This window comes from Homo sapiens, chromosome 12 (genome assembly GCF_000001405.40).
Source record: "Homo sapiens chromosome 12, GRCh38.p14 Primary Assembly".
Classification (NCBI taxonomy): domain Eukaryota; kingdom Metazoa; phylum Chordata; class Mammalia; order Primates; family Hominidae; genus Homo; species Homo sapiens.
In genome coordinates this window covers 47873380-47896396 of record NC_000012.12, presented here as the reverse complement: position 1 = coordinate 47896396, position 23017 = coordinate 47873380, and the positions used below count along the sequence as shown (strand labels likewise).

The 23017-nt window shown below is 48.5% G+C and overlaps 1 protein-coding gene across 8 annotated transcripts in view, besides 4 other annotated features; it reads left to right on the top strand.

The window, feature by feature from the left end:
* The window catches only part of VDR (vitamin D receptor), a 63458-nt gene that overhangs the window by 8598 nt on the left and 31843 nt on the right, over nt 1-23017 (top strand). For 5 of the 8 annotated variants that reach the window (NM_000376.3, NM_001364085.2, NM_001017535.2 and 2 more), the window contains 2 exons: nt 13623-13703; nt 17282-17429. In NM_000376.3, coding sequence (NP_000367.1) covers nt 17284-17429 — 146 coding nt within the window. In that variant the 5' untranslated portion in view covers nt 13623-13703; nt 17282-17283. The remainder of the gene's footprint in view (nt 1-13622; nt 13704-17281; nt 17430-23017) is intronic. The other 3 variants (NM_001374662.1, XM_024449178.2, NM_001374661.1) reach the window with 1 other exon arrangement.
* Nucleotides 6958-7137: an enhancer, noted in NCBI's record as "active region_6275". NCBI's record gives its function as "activates an Ori minimal core promoter by ATAC-STARR-seq in GM12878 lymphoblastoid cells {active_cell/tissue: GM12878}" and the evidence as "EXISTENCE:reporter gene assay evidence [ECO:0000049][PMID:35858748]".
* Nucleotides 12477-12666: an enhancer, noted in NCBI's record as "active region_6274". NCBI's record gives its function as "activates an Ori minimal core promoter by ATAC-STARR-seq in GM12878 lymphoblastoid cells {active_cell/tissue: GM12878}" and the evidence as "EXISTENCE:reporter gene assay evidence [ECO:0000049][PMID:35858748]".
* Nucleotides 13097-13206: an enhancer, noted in NCBI's record as "active region_6273". NCBI's record gives its function as "activates an Ori minimal core promoter by ATAC-STARR-seq in GM12878 lymphoblastoid cells {active_cell/tissue: GM12878}" and the evidence as "EXISTENCE:reporter gene assay evidence [ECO:0000049][PMID:35858748]".
* Nucleotides 13344-13856: an enhancer, noted in NCBI's record as "H3K4me1 hESC enhancer chr12:48276324-48276836 (GRCh37/hg19 assembly coordinates)". NCBI's record gives its function as "activates a minimal SCP1, AML or CMV promoter by ChIP-STARR-seq in naive H9 embryonic stem cells {active_cell/tissue: H9 hESC(naive)}" and the evidence as "EXISTENCE:reporter gene assay evidence [ECO:0000049][PMID:30033119]".

Below are 23017 nucleotides of genomic sequence, written 5' to 3'. Positions count from 1 at the left end.
AACATGTCACAGATATACTCACTAGATGGTTTTGTCTGTAGACCAGGTGCCTGAGCAAGAAAGGAGGGTTGAAGGGCAATTGCTTTGTGTCATTAAATCATCTTCAAAAACTGGGCTGCAACTCAGATGAATTCTCCTTAGTCATTGCAGTAATTGTGCGCAATAATAAGCACTAACGTTTACTGAGCAGGTACTACGTGCCAGGCACTATGCTGAGCACTTGACGTGATTATCTCATGGACTCCTCACAGACTATGCAGTAGGTGGTGTTATTTTTCTCATTTCACAGGTGAGGAAGCAGAAGCTTAGAGAGTGCATTTCATTGGTTCTTGTTGCACAGCTAGTGGTAGGGAGAATTCAGGGTTGGGCACACCCAGGCCAGCTGCCTCCAGAGCCTGCACTTCTAACCGTGAGCTCTGCTGTCAGTGTGTGCTGGTCAGGGGGCCAGGGCCAGGTGGGTCATGAGTGAGGCTGGAGGGATGCAGACCCGGTGAGATGGACTGGAGAGCACACGCTGGTTGATGGGAGCAGCCCCTCTCGGCCCAGCAGGCTTCCGGCAGGAGCTTCAGCCTGGTGTGGCCAGATTATCTGACTTTTTCATAGAAAGCTGGACATTCAGATTTTTTTTCAAAAATGTAAACTCTTGATTTCTAAAACATTGACAGCCAATTTAAAAAAAATGAAATGTGTAATCACTGTTGGTGTTGGGGAAGGACGGGTGGCAAACAGCAAACATCACAGTCAGGTCTGCCCTGCAGGCTCCACTGCATCCTCTGGTAGTTTTTTTTTAACAGGTAACTGTTATAGAGTGGGATAGGAAAAACCCTGTTCCTGTAGAATTCCTTACTAACGTACTAGAAGGTACCCCTCCCAGAATGTGATAATAGCTTTATAATACAGAGTGTTTCTTCCTTGTGAGTTAGAAAGAAAGCTTTCAGAGTAAGATATTCCAAGAATACCTTCCCCTCCTTTCCTTTCTCCCCTCCTCCTTCTCTCCCTCCCATACTCTGTCTTCTCAGGAAGGTATTTCCTCATAGGTATTAGAAGAAAAGTTGTGTGAGAAAAATCAAAAGGAAACTAACAGAGGATAGGGTCTTAAGGCACAAAAAAAAGGAGAAAGTTTGGGGATGGGCTTGGTAGACAACGAATGAATGGATCATGCTCCATGCAATCGTTCAAGGTGTTTTTTCACAGCCTTCCCCTTTTTACCTGAATTTATTCCTCCTCCTCTCCTATTCTTAAATGCCTGGAAAAATAATAGTAATGCAATAGCTAGTATTTTTATAGAGTGTAATTTTAGAGTGTAACAATTTTTATAACACATTTGAAATATTTATCTCAGCTGACACAACAGTCTTATAGAATCTCCTTTTGGAGGCTTGGTAAAGTCGCAGTGTTTTCTCCTTCTTCCTTGCATTCTGTAAGAGTTGTAGCCACGGAGGATGGAAACTCCTGGCTCCCGCGGGCCTTCCCTGTCCTGCCGCCCTCATGCCCCATGTGGATCCACAGGTGGAGGCAGGTGTGGCAGGCAGTTAGTCTGAGTCCTTGACTAGGGTCCCACCTCTATAAAATCTGGTGCCAGCAAGAGTAAGGGAGTGGACATGGGAAGGGCCCTAAATGGATAGTGACCCCAGTTAGTGGCCCAAGGCCAGCCTCCCCCGCCCCACCCTGCCTGTCACTCTGAGCTATTGTTCCAAAAGCTGGGCAGAAAATAACTCACTGGGGGAATTATTTTCATCTCTGTTAAACTTCAATCCTGGGCTACTGACCAGCCTAGCTGCAGAATTATTTTTCAGGTCAGGGGGAGTTCTGGAAAAAGTAAGGGCAGGGGAGTGAAGGGAAGCAGGAGGCATCTCACCCAGGGGCGGAGACGGACCACCGCTGCTGACATCCTCCCTAGGATGCTACCTGTCTGCAGCCCACCTGGCAGCAACTCCAGCTGAACAAGTGGGGCCCAGCCCAGTCAGAGGAAATGGGGTTTCACCCACAAGTCTTTTAATTGAATCTAGGTTCTGAGCTAGTCCATCAGATTCCTTCTTGAGGGATGTTTGCCTCTGCCAGAAAGAGTATTGAGTGCAGAGAGTGGAACTTCTGCCAGCTGGTTCAGACATCCGGTGGGCAGCAGGCCTGGCTCAGGGCAGCTGGGGGGCTGCAGACAGCTAACCACCAGGAGGGAAAGAAGTTGCTCCTCTAGGGACCCTGAGTTTAGCTCCTCCTCTGTCCTGGGGCAGCATTTATGGAAAGTACCCTGTGGTTTAAATCTGTTCTGTCTTTGCCCCCTGGCTACCAAAGAAAAACAAAGAAGAGGGAGATGACAAATGGGTAGGGCTGGGGAAGGGGAATCATAGCTTGGTGAGGGTTCAAGGCTTAGAACAGAGACAGCTGTTTCCTACCACTTTGTGGCCCTGGGGAAGAAAACTCCAGACAGATTCTGATATTTGGCCTGAAACGTTGAACCAAGAGGGTTATCTTCAATTATAGCTCTGAGGGTAAGGCAAGGCTTGTGTCATGTTGGCCAGCAGTGAGTTTGGACAGCCAGACTCAGGATATGGACTGGCATGTGCCTATCTGCATGTGAGGTGCTCCACACACGTCTGTGGTGAGTGTTGTTTGTGAGCATCGTGTATTTTGCCTGATGCCCTTCCTTAGACAATTCCTGGCAATGAGCAAGTGACCTTGTTGACCAGAACAGAGTAGGCTGAGTGGGCTGAGTGGACTGGTGGAGGCAGGTTTGGGGATCCTGCGGCTGTGGGCAACTCACCTCTCTCTGCGCCCATCAACCATATCTGACCACCCTGGACAGACTGAGGAATTAAGTAAGGATTGCACTGGTGATATGGCAGCTGAGTTGTTCACTAACCTCCCTTCCATCTGCCCTTATTGAATCATTTGTTCTTTCTTTTGATTTTCTCCCACAAAACCTTTTTTTTTTCTATTCAGCTAGGCTGAATTTTTCAGGTCTCTCCTTTACCTCTCCCTTCTAGCTCGACTACTGATGGTCCTATTCTTCTCAGGGTTAAGGATCTCCCTGAAGGACTGTGGGGGACAGTGGCTTTGTGTGTACCCAGGCTGGGACTTCAGCTGTGCTGCAGAAGAGGCCTGTGCATAGCTAACGTCTCAATGAAACAATGAGAGAGGCCCTGTTGTCACAACACTCAAGGTGGATTCAGGTTGGAATGGGGATCTGAATGGGGTCTGAAACTCTTCAGTTTCAATAAATCGTGGCAATAATTAAAAATTCCTGATATTCAAGACTCACTGGGTTTAACTTGAAGAAGCAGAGAAAAGAGTGGAATGTACTTCCTACAGGCCTTTGACATGAGTGTGGCCAGTTATTACGTCTCTTCCTGGCACCCTCTCCCTCTCTCCAGCCACATTGAATGAGTTTCTCTGTCCCAAACATGTTCTTTCCCTTTCGCTCTCAGCTTTTGCATGTGCAGTATCCTCTGCCTGGAGTGCTCCTTACGCCTCTTACCACACCACATTAAACTCCTCTGCTCCTTCCTGTCTCCGTGGAGAGGTTGAGAGGGGACAGCCTCCAAAGAGCCTTCTCTTCTCTTTTCTCACCAAGATGAGGCAGAGGCTCTTGCATATGCTCCCTCTAGACCTGGCACTTACCTGGATCGTAGGATGTGTCGTACTGAATTGGAGGTTCCTGTTTGTCCCCCATCCCCACCCCCCAACCCGCGGTAGACTGTAAGCTCCTAGAGGACAGGGTCTATGTCTTGCTCACCACTGTGTCTCTCACTTCCAGTACAGGCCTTTCCATGTGGCTGGCACTTAAACATAGGCAGGGACCCTATCAGAGATAAGGCAGCAGAGGCCAGAGTCAATGTCCACCACAGTGTGAGGCCAAGAAGAAATGCCGCCACATCCTATCCCTGGCCCTCCAGGGGTGTCCTGAAGAGGGACCCTACCCAGAAGGATGGCCAGAAGCCTGACCAAACAGCTCTGGAAAAGCTTGTTAGGGGGAAGTCATTCTAATCAGAAATGGAGGAGCAGCCGATGTCACCTTGGGGTGACTGCTGCTGCCCTTGAAAGTGAGTGGGAACTTCCTACGTGGCCCAGGTCCTGAGAAGCTGCATGAACACAGTACAGGGGAAGTGTCCACCCTCACTAATAACCTAGAAGATGGAGACGGTACGTTTGGGCAAATCAGCCGTGCATGGGACCGGAGCTGCCTGGTGGAGAGTTAGCCCAGCCCTGCCCATCTCAGAGGACCCTGGGGATCCTTCCCTGATTCTGACACAGGCTTCAGAATCTATCCCAGGATAAGTGAATGGCCTTCCCAGGCCTTCAAGAGCTGGGGCAGCCAGAAGTCCAGGCCCACTGAGCCAGAGCCCACCCCATGTCTAGGTGAAGGGGCATGGCAGGGCCATTCTTCTGCCAGGGCTTCCACGGTTCTCGCTGCCACCTCCTGACTCCAGCCCCTCGGCACCCACCTCAGCCTTCTCCTGAGTTCTGCTTTCTGCTTCAGGTGGTGGTGGGTGGGGGTGGGTGGTGGTGGTGCCGCTGCCCTGGTAACAGACAGCGGGGCATCGGCATCCTGGAGGTAGTCAAGCTTCAGGTCCCACTAGAGTGAGAACAGATGCAGGTACAGGATCAGCACTTGATGATGGGGGAGGTGGGGGATGGAGGTGACACTGGATGAGAAGGGACAGGAAGGATGATGGCTGTAAGGGTGGTAATCAGTGACAACTTGGGAGCCACAGGCTTTATGTTTTACGTGGAGGAAAAGTCCAGATTTGTAGCTCAGCTTCTCTGACTGTTAGGAGAGAGATTAGAACAACTCATTTCTCCTCACCCCAAGAAGTTTTGAAAGAGTTTTAGAAGCCACAGACAGTGGGTGGGGTGGTCAGTTTTTTTCCCAGCTCAGCAAAATTGTGGCTTTCTGGGCAACGTTTGTTTGGGGTGGAGCTTTTGGGACTGAGAAGCAGGCATCCTGCCCTTCACAGCACCTCTCTCGGGCCTGAAGTTCTTCTCATTTTCCTGGATTCTCCATTGATTATACTAAAGCCAGGTACAGTTATAATAATAATAGTTAACACATAAAGCTTATGGTGTGCCAGGCACCCTTCTGAGGGCTACTCAGAGATCAGCTCGTTTGATCCCCACACAAGAACTGAGACTCAGGTATTATCATGTCCCTGTTTGTAGATAAGGAGACAGGAATGGGCTCTGGGGGCATCTGAACAGTGGTCAGGTGGCCAGGGGCATCAGGCTGGCCCAGGTAGCTGGACAAAGGCAAGGGGTCTGATCCCAAGGATCCCAAATATCTCAGAGCTGGTAGGACCTGGGGTTTGAATACTGACCTTTGACACAATGCGGAAGAGTCTACGTGACTCAGAGATCACGTTGGTCCCAGAAGGAAAATAAGGAAAATAAGCCTGGCCACCCTGGATAGGGGTAGGTTGTTGGGCCTCAAAGAGGTTTGCCTGAGCAAGAGTGGCTCAGGCCTGGGCAGGCCACTGTCCCCAGGAGCACCCTCCCTGCCCATCGCGTCCCTCTGCCCCTCCCTCCTGCACATGTCACACTGACCACATCTGTAGACATCTTGAGTTGTAGCTGCAGATGGGGACCAGTGGCTCCCATTTTCATTTTAGCCATTTTGTCTCCTGCACCCACTCCCTTCATACAATCTAGTCAGAATAGCACTTCTAGGGCACACGTTCTCAGTCCAAGCTGTGGGAAAGCTCCCCTTATCCAAGAGAGTTTAAAGGTAGTGACTTGGGTTTTTGCGAGTGTTTTGTTTAGTAAGGACTTGTGGGGAGGAACCGTGCTAAGCCATAACCAATGAGGAGAAGCAAGACAGCCTGTCTGCCCCCAGGAGCCAGTCCTCTGCTCTTCTGCAGTCAGGCCACTGCCTTGGGGCTCTAGTCATTCCAGTGGAAGATGAATGTAACCTGCCTGGTGACGTGACAACCGTTTCCTCCCTGACCCCAGAGGAGCTGGCTCTAGAAGGTTGGGATCAATCCTGAATTTAGTTTATGTGTTAGATTTATATATATATATATATATAAAATATATATTACATACATAATATATATAAAATACATATTACATATATGTAAAATACAAAACAATAACCTTTCTGGGGTTTCTCGTGGCAGTTGAAATAGTCCCTCATGTGGTCGTCAGAAAATAAGCCATTCCTCATACTAATATGGGATAAGCTCCTTGACCTCTGAGGAGCAGGAGTGCTTCCTGCTGTGTGTTTTAGAATCCCTCCCCGCCTTGTTTCGTGGCAGTGAAATGCCTCTTGGTCCTGTCCAAATGTGTCTTTCACTGATTTTTTGAATCATGTTCTAGTTGCTTGGTCCTGCCACATGGGTCCAGTGTTCATTTGAGCATAACTGTACTAAATCCTTTTTCCAGATCAGTATAATAAAGGAGTGATGTGCAATTAAAAAAAAAACAAAAAACCGTGGCTCAGGCCTATGTGGACTCAGGCTGCGGGTCCCAGCGTTAAGACAGATGCTTAGCCTGGAGGGAGGCACACAGGCACACTGGAAGCTGGGCTTGGGAGTGGCTTGGAAGCAGCTTTCTCCCGCTGTCTTGAGCTGCTTTTTTGTTTTTGTTTTTGTTTTCAGAGAAAATCCCATTTAGCCATCAGCTGCACTAACACTAGCAGTAGTTTGGGTCTCCCCAAAGAAGGGCTGGACCTACTCTCTCCCTTTGGGGATGCCCCAGTTTCTATTTCTTGGTCTCCAAGTCACTGAACAAATAGCCTCCTTGTCTCATCAACTTTTCCCTGTAGCAGATATCCTTGGGAAGTACCCCCATGCTAGTGTCCCAGGAAGACCCACCTGGAGTAGAGAAAGCTCAGGCCAGGCGTATCCCACTTTCCTCTAAAGTACTCCCTGTCTTGAGTTCTTGTTCATGTCTTTGGCCACGGGAGCTGAAGCCAGGAGCTGGAGTTAGTCGGGCAGGAGCATGTGGGTGATCCTAGCAACATTTTTGTTTCTCTGTGTTGATTGTAAGAATGTAGTCAATGCTGGGAGGACCTGCTGCAGTCTGCATCAGGCCTCCTACAGGGAACTCTCAGCCCCAAAGGGAGAGTACACACCAGCTTCCATGGCCCATTCCTACCCCACACCACATCCTCGCCCTGAAGCTGCTCAGGCAGGCGATTGGGGGTACTGGACTCGGCCAGGCTGGAGGTGAGAAAGTATACTTCCTTACTGTGTGGCCTTGGATATGTCACTTCCTCTCTGATTACCTCAGAGGAGACTGAGAAGAGACTGAGGCCATCAGAGAGGAAGTGACATGTCCAAGGCCACGCAGTAAGGGAGTATACTTCTCCTCTCTTGTTTTTATTGACTTTCTTAGAATTTTTTCTTTTTATTTGTAGTTGACACATAATAATTGTACATATGGAATACAGAGTGATATTTCAATATGGGTACACAATGTGCAGTGATCAAATCAGGGCAATTCGCTTATGTATTGCCCCAAACATTTATCATTTCTTTGTGTTGTGAACATTCAAAATCTTCTTTCCTAGCTTTTGGGGAATAGAAGGTAAATTATAGTTAACCAGAGTCACCCTGCAGTGTTGCAGAAAACCAGAATCCATTCTTCCTGTCCAGCTTTAATTTGGTATTTGTTAACCAACCTCTCCCCATCTTCCCCTCCCTGCTACCCATCCCAGCCTCTAAATACCCATGGTTCTACTTTCACGGCCTCCGTTTCTTCAGTTGTAAAACCAGAGAGATTGAACTGCAGCTTCTAAATGGGCCAGTCCCCTATGCGTCACCGGCCACTCTCCAGCAGTGACGGGCATAGCCTGCCTGTTACCTGGAGAGCAGTAATCAGCCCAGAAATCTTGTTGACAAAGCTAAGGGCAGAGTTTCCATTGGAAAAAAGCAGCTTGCAGGAAAAATTGTTGATAAGAAGTGGAAATCTATCTAAGTAAGCCATATATCTCCTGCTCCACTGCCTGAGGCCTCATGGGCTCCCCACTCTGAGTCCTGCCACGCTCCAAGAAGCTGCTGGAGTTCCCCAGAGTAGCCTTGGTGAATGAGAGTATGTAGCCTGGTTTCCATGGAGTGACCCACTAGCCCTGTGATATGGTTTGGCTGCGTCCCCACCGAATCTCAACTTGAATTGTATCCCTCAGAATTCCCACGTGTTGTGGGAGGGACCCAGGGGGAGGTAATTGAATCATGGGGGCCAGTTTTTCCCATGCTATTCTCATGATAGTGAATAAGCCTTATGAGATCTGATGGGTTTAGCAGGGGTTTCCACTTTTGCTTCTTCCGTATTTTTCCGTTGCCACTGCCATGTAAGAAGTACCTTTCACCTTCCGCCATGATACTGAGGCCTGCCCAGCCATGTGGAATTGTAATTCCAGTTAAACCTCTTTCTCTTCCCAGTCTCAGGTATGTCTTTATCAGCATCGTGAAAACAGACTAATACACCCTGATACTGCAGGGGGTGTCAGTCCATGGCTTTTAGCAGGTTCTCAAAGGTGATGCATAGTCCCAAAAGGGTTAATGAAGAACAAGCTTCAGGGGTAAACTCCTTCCTACAACTACTGTGTCATCAGCCACTGAATTTCCCATCGTTCAGTCAGTCATAACTGGTGAGCCTCTTAAATGTTCTTAGAGGTTCTTAGAGCTGCGTTGCTGGGGCCCAGCCTCCTCTGGAAAGAGCCAAGTGGCAGACAGAGGAGGTGGCAGCCCTGCTGGGAGCACACCCAGCACTCACACTGCTCCATGGGCCCTTTCCATAGAACAGACACTGTTCTCTCCAGGTGCAGGCCACAAAGGTGGACGCTGTCTGTGCTACCACCTTACTCACTCTTCTTGTGGGGATCATGATCAAACCTGGGAATTTGATGGAGTCTAAATCAAAATTAAGTGTAACCCAGGCTATCTTCTGCTGCTTCTCCCCTGCAACTTCACTCACAACATAAGCATTATAGAGTGTTCTATTTTTATAATTTTCTGACTGATGGAAGTGAAGTGTCTTAGGGCTTAGTGTCTTAGAAAAGTCTAAGAGTCTTAGAAAAAGGGATCCTTTTCCTTTTTAATTTTTCTTTTCTTCTCCTTTGTTTTTTTTTTTTTTTTTTTGAGACGGAGTTTTACTCTTGTCGCCCAGGCTGGAGTACAACGGTGCGATCTCTGCTCACTGCAACCTCTGCCTCCCTGGTTCAAGAGATTCTCCCGCCTCAGCCTCCTGAGTAGCTGGGATTACAGGCACCCGCCACCAAAGCCGGCTAATTTTTGTATTTTTTCTTTTTTTTAGTAGAGACAGGGTTTCGCCATGTTAGCCAGGCTAGTCTCGAACTCCTGACCTCAAGTGATCCACCCACTTTGGCCTCCCGAAGTGCTGGGATTACAGGCATGAGCCACCGCGCCCGGCCAGGGCTCCTTTTTCTAATGTGCATATGGTACCATATGGTGGCCCCCTAAGCCCTCCTCTAGAGCTCCTGTGCGAATGGCCTAGTAGCTTTGTCTAACATGGCTACAAAGAGCTATCTAGGAGGAGCCATTGAAAGCTATGGGGTGCTGTTCCATCTGTGCATGATACAGAGCTTTCTAAGCATAGAGCCATCCAAAGAGAGTGGATTGCCGTGGGAGGTGGTTCTCCACTAGGAAAATTATTCAAGCATGGGCTAGAAAACTGTTTGGCTAGAATATCATAGAAGAAATTTAAGATGATTGGACTAGGTGGTGCTGTTGCCTTCCAATCTTGAGATTTTCAGAGCTGAATGTTATCTCTTGGGTTTTACTGTGGACATTGTGGTCTGTAGAAAATAATTTCCAATCGTTCTTACACATATTTAAAAGATGTGTGTATGAAGGAGCTGGGGAGACAGTCGGGGCAGGAAGTAGTTTGGATATGTTCTATTTATACAGTAAACCCTCTCCACTCCCCATTATTATCACTCTGTTCTCTGTCAGCTTCTTCTGGGAGGTACTGAGACTGTTCTGGACAAAGAAAATGGATACATGGTGGGGATGGTGGAGAAGAAAGAGAGGGTATCACCTTAGCTGGCCATGATATTATTATGCCTGAGTTATGCACCAGAATAAAGAGAAGACAAAAAGTTAGGTAGGTCATGCAGTGCTTAGCACTCGATGGGGCAGAGTTTAATGGATGATGAAACGAAAAATAGCAAGACAAGGGTGTGTACGCACAAGTACATGTGCGGTTGTGGCTGGCGGACACACAGGCATATCTTCTCCTGGAAAAGCCCAACACTTGGTTGACTCTGTGTGTGGCAATTTTAGGAAGAAGAAGAATTGTCTCCCACTCTGTGGGGAAATAGCTTAGCTTTCCATTTCTTTCTAGAAGGAGTAGGAACTTTGGAACAATGTCAACAATTAGAAAGCCCAGTTTAGATCACTCCAGTCCCAACCTGGCAGAGAGAGGACCCCTCTCCTGGGGTCGATTAGGGGCCACATCTTTTGTGCCCTTCCTGCTCATTGGCATCTGAGGATGAGTGAGTCTCACTCACTGAGGCATGAATGTTGTGGTTCATCTGGCTAATGAGGGATCAGGGAGAAAGCTTCATCTCATTTAAGGTCTTCTTTCCTGGCGTGGCTCACACCTGTAACCCCAGCTACTTGAGAAGCTGAGGTGGAAGATTGCTTGAGCCCAGGAATTAGAGGCTGCAGTGAGCTGTGATTGTGCAACTGCACTCTAGCCTGGGTAACAGAGGAGACCTTGTCTCTTAAAAAGAAAAAAAAATAGTGCTTCTCATGATGGGAATTCCAGTCTTGGAGTTGCATGCTCTCAGAGCTAGAAAAGACATTAGCGGTCAGACTTCTTGTCCACTCCATGGTCCTTCTCAGAGTCACAGCTTTACCACCCTTAGGAGGGTCCAGTCAATGTGGAGTTAAACTGAGCCATGAGGGACTTTGATTTTTGTCCTCCCAGGGCTCTGCCCAGGACACCTGGCAATTGCCACCCTGCAAGACTGCCGTAGGCGAGATGGCCCCGGGGATGCCCATTTAACAGAAGCTGCCGCAAGATGGGGCCGCCTGTGGTGTGGGCTGACAGGCAGACGTGTAGGAGAGGCAATGGTTGTGGCTTCAGTGACTGGAAGGAAACGTGTTATCTTCTCATTTCTTGCTAAGGCAAGGTCAGCACTGGGGTCAGGGTCAGGCAGGGTTTTTGATGTGGGATGCAGGCCCTGGAGGGATGGAAGCCAGGGGCTTTCTACAGAGTTGAGCTCCTCCCCCTCTGCTTCTCTGAAGCTTAGTGCTGGGGGTTTGGTATTTCTAAAGCAGGGTCAGGAGAGGGTTGCTCTGGGGACGGTCCCAGCAAAAGCAGTGGGATGTTCTGTGTACTCAGAACATGAATTGCTGGTGGGGTGGGCGTGTGACGTGGCAGAGGGCAGGTATTAAGCAGTTTTTCCACCTGTCCTCCTTTCCACCTTATGTCTTTGCCCCACTTTCCTATAGGCTTGCACTTGGACTTAGAGGCTGAATCTAGGATATCTCTCCTAAAAGGACCGTCCACTATTGGAAAGTCGAGTGAGGAGGAGAGGCCCATCTATTGAATGGGATTTTCCCAGATGAGAGGGGCTGGGTGACAGAAAGTGGATGGAACCTGGCTGAGGCCTGCCATCCCTTGGCCTGGGGATCCTTGGAAGGAAAAGAACAATCCCCAGGTTCTTCCCTCATGACCTGGGGATTGTTCTCTGCATTGCTCCTGACTTAGTGGAAGTGAAAGGTGTCCACGGCTTAGGGTTGCAGAAATGACTCAGAGCTAAGCTACCTAGATTCAAATCCAGCTCCAAAGACAATCACCTTCCCTGCGCCTCAGTTTCCACCCCTAAGATAGGGGCAATAAAGTACCCACTGGAGGAGGCTCTTATGAGAGTGAAGTGAGTGAGGACACAGGAAAACCATGGAGCAGGGCCCAGTGCGGAGCAGTAGGCATCTGCTCTGATGATTGTCATTGCAAAAGGACCCAGTTGGGCACTACAATCAGCCTGTCCTCATTTGGCCCCAGGAACCACCACTTGCCTAGCTGTGGGACCCTGGGTAAGTCACTCAGAGTGCTCTGAAATTTGGCTTTGCTACAAGTAGGACTGCTCCCTGCCTCACAGAACTGTTGTGAGGGCTAAATGAAATAATGTATGCAGAGCTTAGCAGGCCTGGCATGTAGTAAATACTCCGGAAACATTTTTTTTAAGTTCCAGGGTGGTTGTCTATCTGGATGTCACCTCTGACCTCTGAAAACCACAGGGATTGAGGATAGGAAAGCAGTGCTCCTTTCTGCATCCACCCGGTCCCCACCTCACCTTCCTGAGCACCAGGAAAGGAGCCTGAGGAATCAATAAGGCCAGAGGAGGAACCCTGCAGAGCGTGGTCAGCTGGGAAGGACTTGGGCAGTAGGAGCAGAGGGGGCAAAGGAGGGCCTGGGTTGGGGGTACGTGGCAGCATGCCTGTCCTCAGCAGACACCTCCCACTGCCCATGCTTCTTGTGGGGGTGGGCCAGCCCAGCTTAGGTTATCTTGGCTCATTGTCCACTAGTGTTTTCCTCAGATGCTCCCTGGGAGCTGGCAGTACTGGAGGGGGTGGCAAGTGGCCTCAGTCGGCTCACAGTTCTAGGACCGGGCCCAGGTCTTGGAAGCCCCTTGAGCTCTCCCCCTTCCCTGCTTAGGCCACTGGAAGACAGAGGTCTCCAAAGAAAGACAAAAGCTGGGGTCTAGACATACCCCATCTGGGGTCTGACTTAAAGGCCTTTGCCAGGGTCACCTCCTGTTGGCATCAGAGAAGGAAAGAAGTGTGTGTTTGTGTGTTTGTGTGTGTGTGTGTCTGTCTGTTTGTCTATGTCTGCAGGTGGACAAGTAGGGCCGGGTGTGAGTGGAAGTGGAAAGGATACTATTCTGCCCATCCCTCCTTGCTGGCCCCCCAGCCAGCTGCTAAGATCCAGAGTCTGGGCAGCAGAGTCAACCCTACTGCAGCTGGGGGTGTTGAGCATGTCTGGGGAAGAGCTAAAAGTGGCAGAAAACATCCTGTTTGAAAGCAATGCTTTGCTGTATTTAACCCCTGCAACACCTGCTCCGCCTACACCCGGTCTCCACAGACAGGAGATCTCAGACACCTGCCTTTGAAGCTGTCCCAAGAGGCCAAGGCTGTGGGCTGCCATCCAAGCCTGCCCCATTCCCAGCTCCTGTGCGGCACCTCCTCTGCCCTGCCTGGGGCAGCCGTCTTCCCGCTCTTAGCAGCAGGACACATGGCCCAGTTGCTCTGCTTCCTGAGCTGCCTACAATCTGGAGATGGAGGGGGTAGTGAGAGTGTGGGTCTCCCTAACGAAAAGGCCCTTCCTCCCTCCTGACACCCTGGGCTGTGAGAGGAGAAGGAGTGCCTAGGCGGGAGGCTGTTTCCTTCTGCCTGGGGCTGGTTGCCGCCACCGCTTCCCACTGCTCCTGCTACTCCCTGCCTCGAGGGAGGGCCATCCTGGCTGCTGCCCAGCCGCCACCCCCACACCCCTGCCAGCGATGACATGGCATGCCTGCTCCCAACAAGCCACTTCTGTTTGCAGTCACTGATCTGGGGACTAAAGTCCCTGGAAAGAGCCTCTCGTGCCCACTTCCTTAGAGACTGGGGAGGCGGTCAGCGCTCCGCCTTAGATAAAAGGTTTCCCCTTCTTCATTTCAGAAGCCTTTGGGTCTGAAGTGTCTGTGAGACCTCACAGAAGAGCACCCCTGGGCTCCACTTACCTGCCCCCTGCTCCTTCAGGTAGGTGTTTCCTCATCAGCCGCAACTTCCCTGGCTTTCTGTTTTCAAGGGGCGGGGTGGGGGGGAGGGGCATAAGAAGGTGGTGGGCAGGGGAAGGAAGGGATACCACCCAGGATTTTGCAAGGTGGGTCCCGGGCCAGCAGAGTCTGCAACTGAGATGCATGAGTGTGTGGGGTGCGGGTGGGAGTTCAGAGAAGGGCTCAGGAGATGGGGCTTGCTGGCTCCAGCCACGACCCTGGCTGGGCTCTCCTGTGCGTCTGATGTTTCCTATCCAGCCCCCATCTCCTCTTTCTCTTTGCTGCCTTCTTTAGTCTCTGCCTGTCATTCCTGGGACTTTCAGCTCTCAAGCCACAGAGGCTTGGACATCTCCACATGTGGACTCTGGTCCTGGGCGCTGGCTTCTTGATAGCAGCAAATAACCTCAAGCAGGGTTGGGTCTTCTGTCAGCTCCCCTGAAATGGTCTCATTCACTGTGGGCCTCTGGCTGCTTGATCCAGCCTTTCCAGCCTTCACCCCCAGCATAGAGACTTCCTGATGTCAAGGCAGCACCCCACCCCATTGCAGGACTGCCCCGTTGCTGTGCTGTGGTAGTATGTTGTTCCACTCGCTTGCATCATAGCATCTCCAAATGAGTCCATGTGATGCTGAACATGTGTTGACTGATTTAACAGATATTCCTTCCTACCCCCCATTTGATTTCTCTGTTTTCCACGAAATCCACCGGATACTTGGGAGCCTGGATGACCCAGACTCTGTAGCAACACCACGATGACTCGGAGCTGCAGCATCTCAGCTGACCCAGGGTTAAGCCACAAGCATCCTGGACAGTTTCCCCTATTACCCCACAATGATATTGGGCCTCCGGGATGCTGGCCACATCTTGAATGTGTGCTATGTTCTAAAACCTGCAGGCATCAGCTTGGACTTGGGATGGTCTTTGGGGACAATGTTGATAGATCCACAAGCACTTTTTCTATTTTTAATTGTTTTTTAAATTATGAAACGTTTTGTATATTCAGAAGGGCATGCAAACACAGATATACAAAACATAGATGTAGTGTTTTGCTAATAATAATAAGAAGAAGATACCATATGCTCACTACTCAAAAAATAGAATACTGCTACTATATAATGCACACCCCTCCCCGATCTCATCTCTCCAAAGGTTTCTGTTAATCATTCCTTTGTTCTTTTTTTCTGAACTTTTCTTATAGGTTCAGGGGGTACCTGTGCAGGTTTGTTACAAAGGTATATTGCAAGATACTGAGGTTTTGAGTATGAATGAATTGTCTCCCAGGTAGCGAGCATAGTACTCAATAGGTTGTTTTTCAGCCCCTGCCCCTGTCCACTTGTATTCCCAGTGTCCATTGTTCTCATCTTTATGTCCATATGTACATGATGTTTAGTTCCCACTTATAAGTGAGAACATGTGCTATTTTGTTTTCTGTTTCTGGCTTTGTTTCCTTAGGATAATGGTCTCCAGCTGTATCCATGTTGCTGCAAAGGAAAAAGGACAGTGTATGTGTGTAAAAAGGACAGTATACGTGTGTAAAAAGGACAGTATATGTGTGTGTATATATATATATATACACACACACACACATATACTGTATTTTCTTTATCTAGTCCAGAGTTGATGGGCACCTGGGTTGATTCTGTGTCTTTGCTATCGCTGCAATGATCTTTGTTCTCTTTCTGAAAGTGCTTCTCTCTTTATATATAGGTATATATTTATACTTGCTAAACTTTAATGTATATGTAGCTGCTAAAATTTAATATATACATTAAATATGTATTTATATATTTAATATATATTAATATATAATATATATTAATATGTATTTATATATTTAATGTATATATTATATATACATTAGAGTTTAGCAAGTATAAATCTAGCTGTGAAAGAAATTAGCAATAGTGTCACTATTACTATTAGGATAGTTCAAAAGTAATTGCGATCTTTGCCATTATTTTTGATGGCCAAAACCACAATTACTTTTGCACCAACCTAATACATTAAGGTTTCCAGGAAAAGAAAAGCTAAATGAGGTTAGGGAATCTCCGAGGTCTGTGACCGGGATTCCCTCTGTCCCTTTGGGACTGATGATAACATATTCTTGCTTATCTGCACCACTTCTTTCCCTTGGTGTGAAGCTCTTTGGGGAATTTTTAGAAAGTATTTGTTTTATTCATTTGGCAGTAGTGGTTTCTAGACATATCTTAAGGTTTGGGCCTCTCTGGGCCTCATTTGTAAAGGGGATGATGATAATAGCATCTACACCATGAAGTGGTATGAAGGTGAAATAAGACTTAATGAGCTTTGATATTCCACACCCTAGATCAGAGATCATGGGCCTAGTCATTGAAAAGTAGCTCAGAGCCTCCCAAGGGCCCCCAGAATCTGCCTCTGTCACCCAAGGGCAGGAGGAAATGGTACCCTGGGGTGGAGTGGGTTCTTGTCTCTTGTTTCCTGGCTTTCTCTCTTATTTTTCTTCTGACAAGAAGGACCCTTTGCCTAGGGTCAAAGGGGTCACTGAAACCTGTAATGACCCTTTTGAGGATTCAGATAAAATTGGGAGAACTGGGAGGCAGTAGGGTCTGAAAGCATTTCAGGGCAGTCTGAGGTATCCCAGAATCATCTCTGAGCCTGACAGTAGACGGGATCAGACGCAGCAGACAAAGCTGGGGGCCCAGTTTTGGCTAATGAAAGAGTCAAGCCAGCTGCTTCCTGAGAAGGCCTTCCCAAAGCTGTGGGCTTTCGTTCCGTCTGTCTCTTCTCCTTTTCCTCAAGTATGAAATCCATCTCTAGATGATAATGCCTGTTTAGAAAAACCATCTCTGAAAACACAATTAATTGTATAGGACTCACATGACTCAGAAGGACATTCAAAATAATGTTTTAAGTGTTATTGCCAAAAAAAGGGGGGGGAAATATCTTGAAATGTTGATTGTCTTGGTACAGGAACACCAGGGGCATAAGCCTATTAGCCCTGAGCTTTATGGTTGTGAGGAGCTGGGGCTGGAATGACCAGGGCACCTAAATCCTCAATTCCCCCCACCCTCAAGAGGAGGAGACCTGAGGGTTTCTCTCCACATGTAGGTGCTGAGGCTGAGGGAGGACTCTCATTTTCCCTTGGAGGGGGCGTTGGGCAGGATAGAAGCCCCTGACCTGGTTCAGGTCTGTGCCTGAGGCAGAGCTAGTGCCAGTAGCATGAATGGGTTCATGCATATGATCCTTACACCCTGGAAGTAAAACACCTCTTCCAATGCAGACAGCGGGGGCATGCAGAGGTGAACCACTAAACCCAAATTAACCTGACAGATGCAACATCTGAAACCAGGCAGCTGATTCCAAGCCATGCTCTGAGCCAGCTATGTAGGGCGAATCATGTATGAGGGCTCCGAAGGCACTGTGCTCAGGCCTGGGCCCTGGGGAGATGCCCACCCTTGCTGAGCTCCCTGGTGGTGGGGGGTGGGGGCGGTGGGATGAGGCTGGGGGTGGGTGGCACCAAGGATGCCAGCTGGCCCTGGCACTGACTCTGGCTCTGACCGTGGCCTGCTTGCTGTTCTTACAGGGATGGAGGCAATGGCGGCCAGCACTTCCCTGCCTGACCCTGGAGACTTTGACCGGAACGTGCCCCGGATCTGTGGGGTGTGTGGAGACCGAGCCACTGGCTTTCACTTCAATGCTATGACCTGTGAAGGCTGCAAAGGCTTCTTCAGGTGAGCCCTCCTCCCAGGCTCTCCCCAGTGGAAAGGGAGGGAGAAGAAGCAAGGTGTTTCCATGAAGGGAGCCCTTGCATTTTTCACATCTCCTTCCTTACAATGTCCATGGAACATGCGGCGCTCACAGCCACAGGAGCAGGAGGGTCTTGGTGAGTGGTATCTTCTTTTCCCTCCTCTCAGCTCCAGATGTTCCTCTGACTCTCTTGGAAATCGCTTTCCTGAGGTTGCTGTGTGGGTCTCTGTCTTTCCATTACGCCTGTAACCCACAGCCTCCTACACCAACCCACGTGTCCATCCTTCCAGAGTGAACCTCCTCCCTGTTGATGATCACAGCTTCCTCACCCAAGAGACAGGCATGTCTTTGGGGAAAGCCCAAGAACTTGGTTTCAGAGCTTGCCTTCCCATCCAATCCAAACTGTTCCTTGGAACAAGGGAAATGGCACCTCTTGTCGGGTCATCACGATCTGTACCCATATCTTCACCCAAGGACTGTTTGTCCTGGTCTGAAAGCCAACCTTGGAACATCCAGGCAGTGTCAGGAATGTACCTGCATTCCTGTTTGATCAGGGCCAGTTTCTTTACCAACACACTCCCCTTACATGAGCCCAGGATTACAGATGTGAAAGGTGTGGGAAAAGCACTGGAGGTTCCCATTCAAAGCCAGGGTGGGAGCGTGGGAAAGGGATGAATTGGGGCAGGAACTGGGAATCATGAGAAATTAGCATTTGGCATGTATTGGAGAGAGAGAGAGAGAATAGCCTGAAAGAAGGCAGCCAAAACAGATCTTCTGTCTAGCGGTCTAGACTGGAGGTGGCTATGGCAGGGCTCTAACCATCAAATGAGGAAAGCACAAATCAAGTCCAGAGGAGGATGCTGAGGTCGGCTTGGTTGTTGTCTAAACCGGAGTGCTCTCCTCGCCTTGGGGGCACAGTGAATTCAAGTCCAGGCGCTTGTGTGGGACTCTTACTCAAGGACTTGGGGTCTCTCTGTCAACACAAGCTCCTGATTCACCTGCCCTCTGCCTCAGGAATCAGCAGGCCCAGAGTTTCATGGCCTTGAGCAATTGCTGGGCAGTGGGGTTTCTGTGGGTGCTAATTGCCTGTTTGGCCTGGCACTGGCTGCCCGCTTGGCTTCCCGGCAGCCTACTCTCCAGCTCGGGGAACCAGACAAGCAGCATCGCTGGCTCTAAGTCGTGTTGCTGCATTTGCCAATCCTTGGGCCTGAGGTCCACACATCCTGCAGGGTGGGCCTTCTAGAGCCCCAGTTGTGTGTCCCAGGTGACACATGGACCCTTTCCTGCCAGGTCCTCTAACTTGGGGGGCTGCCTTGAGTGCTAATGAGAGGGGAATCTAACGCACACCTCAGCGCCTGCTTACTACCATGAAACCCATCAGAAAGGCATGGTCTGGGGTGCTGGCCATGGCAATAATTTATGGGATGTCCTTGCTCAAATGGATGTCCTTGACATATCTAGGTTTTAGTTAACTCAACTAATGGCATGCATGTATTGATATCCACCCCCTCTGCTACATAGTGTTAATCTGAGGATTAATGAGATGACATGTAAAAAAGTGCTTTGAAAAACACTTTTTCAGTCTGATGAAAAAAGCTGAGATTTTTGAGCCTGATGGGTCACCACTGCTGCCCTTCATGGAACCATGCTCTCATAAAATAAACAAAAGCCTCGCAGCCAGCCAGCCAGCCACTTTCCTCGTGTGTGTGTGTGTTTGTGTGATTTTTTTGTAGTGATGGGGCCTCCTTATGTTGCCCAGGCTGGTCTCAAACTCCTGGGCTCAAGCGATCCTTCCATCTTGGCCTCCCAAAGTTCTAGGATTATAGGCATGAGCCACCATGTCTGGCCTTGTGTTTCTTTCACTCATTCCGTCACCAGACTTCAATCTGCATTTATAATCTGGCATTGGGCTAGGAGTTGTCAATATGGAGATTCTCACCGAAGGTCATATCTTGTCAGTCTGCAACCAAAGCATTTGGTTATGGAGTCTCTACCCCCAAATCCACTCTCTCCTCCTAGGCCTCCTCCCCCCTGAGATTCAGCTCTGGGAAATGAGAATCTTAGGTGGCAGCTGGTTGGGTGGTGACACATTGGAGGCCAGTTCCTCACTGGAGTGGCTCTGACTGCTATGCATCTGTAGTTGCTGCCCTTGGACACACCACTAGGCTGGGAATCCTCAGGACAGGAGCATGTGAGGCATCTGGGTGGAGAGAGGACAGGTCCTGTCATGCCCCAGGCTGAGTGTGAAAGATGGCAGAATGAACAAGGATGGTATGTTTGTAATCTGTGTCACCACAGACTGACAGAGTGGCTGTGTTGCTTGTGGGCACATGATGCCACCTTAACCCACTCTTAGTCCACCTTGACAAGAGCCCTTAGAGTCTGTTGCTGGCTGTTGGTCACAACCACTGCCTGCAATGCCTGGCACTATGGGCTGCAGGCTGGTTTTGTCTTGTTACCCTGTCCTCAGTCTACCTTACTTAGATCTTTACTGTCTCTGTCTTGATGACTAAGCTAGGCTGCTACATTCTAAAGAGCCAACATGTCTGTCATTTGCTTGAGGATGTGGATGAAAGAGAATGAGTGGGGTTATCTATGGATTGTTCAAGAGTAATGTTCAGAAACTTGAGGGAAGGTCACTGAAGCTGTCAAGAAAGACAGCTGCAAGGTTCTGAATTTTGTTTGATATGTACATAAACAAACACACACATGCACACACACACACACACACAGTCAACCTTCATTATTCATGGATTCTGTATTTGCAAATCTGCCCACTTGCTAAAATTTACCAAAATCAATACTTGCAGCCCCTTTGTGGTCATTTGTGAACATGTGCAGAGCAGTGAAAAATTCACATGACTTGGCACCTATCTTCCCAGCCAGGGTCTTCACAATCTATTTAGTGCTACATTTTTTGCCTTTTTTTGATTTTTATTGGTGACTTTGCTGTTTAAAACAGTTCCCAAGCGTAGTGCTGCACTGCTGTCTGGTGTTCCTAAGTGCAAGGCCGTGATGTGCCTCACAGGGAAACTATGTGTGTTAGACAAGCTTCCTGAGGACAACAGTGCTGCTGGCTGTTTGATCAATGTTAATAACTCAACCAACAATATCTATTGAATAAGATATCTTTAAACAGAAAACTCACATAAGACAAGGTTATGTGTTGATCAGTTGATGAAAATTTTGTGACCAGAGGCTTGCAGAAACCTCACCCTGTGTTTCCTCCAGGAACAGTGTTTCAATATTCACTAATCCAGTGTCCACAGTGACTATAGACCATAACTACCATGAATAATGAGAATCAGCTATACATACATCATTTCTCCTCTTCTTCCACCCCTGATGCCTGCTTCTCCTTCTTTGCTTCATCCAAATTTTATTTGGAAGTTTTCCATTTTGATCTGGTCCAAATAGTTGCTTGAGAACCCTGTGGTCACTCATATCTGTTTGTGAAACTCTGATCCCAGGAAGCAAGGACAATGTCAGTGGTCTGTACCTTCTCTGTGGTGGGTACTGCATCCTTGCATCCTTGGGAACACAGAGATGACAGGAACCAAGTCCTTGCTCTCAAGAAGCTTGCTTGACCATTTCCTGATAGTTATTGACAGACAGCATTGCTTGAATATTGGGTCACTAGCTCTTTTCCAAGCCCTGGAGACCAGTAATCCAATCCCATTTGACCATTTAGTATTTGGTTTGGCTTCTAAGATAGTTAACTAAACTGCTCTAGGAGCTAGTTGTTATCATCAAAACGAGTCTAAGACTCATAATCTAGCTGAAGTGTGATGATGGTTAGAAGGTTAGAGAGGGATCACAGTTCTATTGATCTATGATCAGGCATTAGAGGCCATTGCTGGTCAATTCCTCCTGCAAGCTATTTCATGTTGCTTGTGCTTCCTGTTATTCTGGAATACAGGGACATCCTCAGAGAAAGATGATATTTCCAGTGTGAATATAAGGTTGGCACAGGCAGGCTTATAGATGGCCAGACACCTCTTGGCTATATGTTAACAACTAAAGCATAAGTAAGAGCCAGAGGAGGAAAAACATTTGGAATAGGTCTATTCCAAATGACATATATAGTGGATGATCCATATATGTATATGCATGTGGATGCATATGGTCATGGATGGCTTCGTCCGGAGTCTGATATAAAGGAAAAGGTGTAATGGACAGAGAAGAAAATCAGAGGAACCCCTTTGATGAAGAGAATGAAGGTGGATGGTGAGGTTTAAGAGCTGATCCTGGAAGGCAAGATGAGAAACAGGTCATCGTTTGCCTGCTTATCTTGTCTTCTTCCTCCCTGTTGGGATGCTTAAATAAGGACTCTGTGCAGCTACAAGCTAACAAAGACAGTGCAGAGAAGTGCGTTTTCGCTTCCTAGCTCCAAGGTTCTTGAGGACTTTGTTAATTATGGGTCATGCGGAGTGCAGGGGGCAAAAGGTAGGCTGGCGAGGATCCAGGAAGATGAGGAATGTTCTGGCATTCAGGAAGGTCACCCCACTGATATTTGTAGCTCTTCTAGCAACCTGATGTGAAAGGAAGCAGAGAAATAGGGCAGATGTCCAGGAATTTAAAACCTAAACTGCTTAAAGGAGAGAAAATAGAGAAAAAAGGGAGGAACAGCCACACAGGGTATTCTATGGGCACAAGTAAATGAGTGACCAAGAAGTCAGTGTTGCTGGAGAGACTTTGTCCAGGTCCACTTTGGCAGCTGACCTCCATTCACAGATATTCAAGGATGTGAATGAAAGAGAATGAGTGGGGTTATCTATGGATGTTCCAAGAGTAATGTTCAGAAGCTTGGGTAGAGGAGGCCAAAATATTTGGAGAGGGAAGGTCACTGAAGCTATCAAGAAAGACAGCTGCAAGGATAGGATTTTACATTACCTTTTTGTCATTCTTTTATTTCTTTTGAAATTCAGCACTCTAATCAGGGCTCATTTGCATGACTTTGCACTCAGCACACACTTGAGATCTTCCCTGTGCTTGGGTTATACAGGGCCAGTGGAGAGCATGGTCAGATGTGACCCCACACTTCCAAAGCATCCTTCTAGAGACTGCCTGAATCCCTAGAGGGATTTGTCCTAGAGGAGTCCTTCAAACAGCCTCTGCTTCATGCTCCTGGACTTTGGGAAAGCATGTTTTTGACTGCTGCTCTAGCTTGGATTGAGAGATGGTACATTCCTGATGAGAACCATAGTATATATGAAGATCAGTGTATTAGTCCATATTCACACTGCTATAAAGAACTACCCAAGACTGAGTAATTTATAAAGAAAACAGGTGGCCGGGCGCGGTGGCTCACGCCTGTAATCCCAGCACTTTGGGAGGCCGAGGCGGGCGGATCACGAGGTCAGGAGATCGAGACCATCCTGGCTAACACGGTGAAACCCCGTCTCTACTAAAAATACAAAAAATTAGCCGGGCGAGGTGGCGGGCGCCTGTAGTCCCAGCTACTCGGGAGGCTGAGGCAGGAGAATGGCGTGAACCCCAGGGGGCGGAGGCTGCAGTGAGCCGAGATTGCGCCACTGCACTCCAGCGTGGGCGACAGCGAGACTCCGTCTCA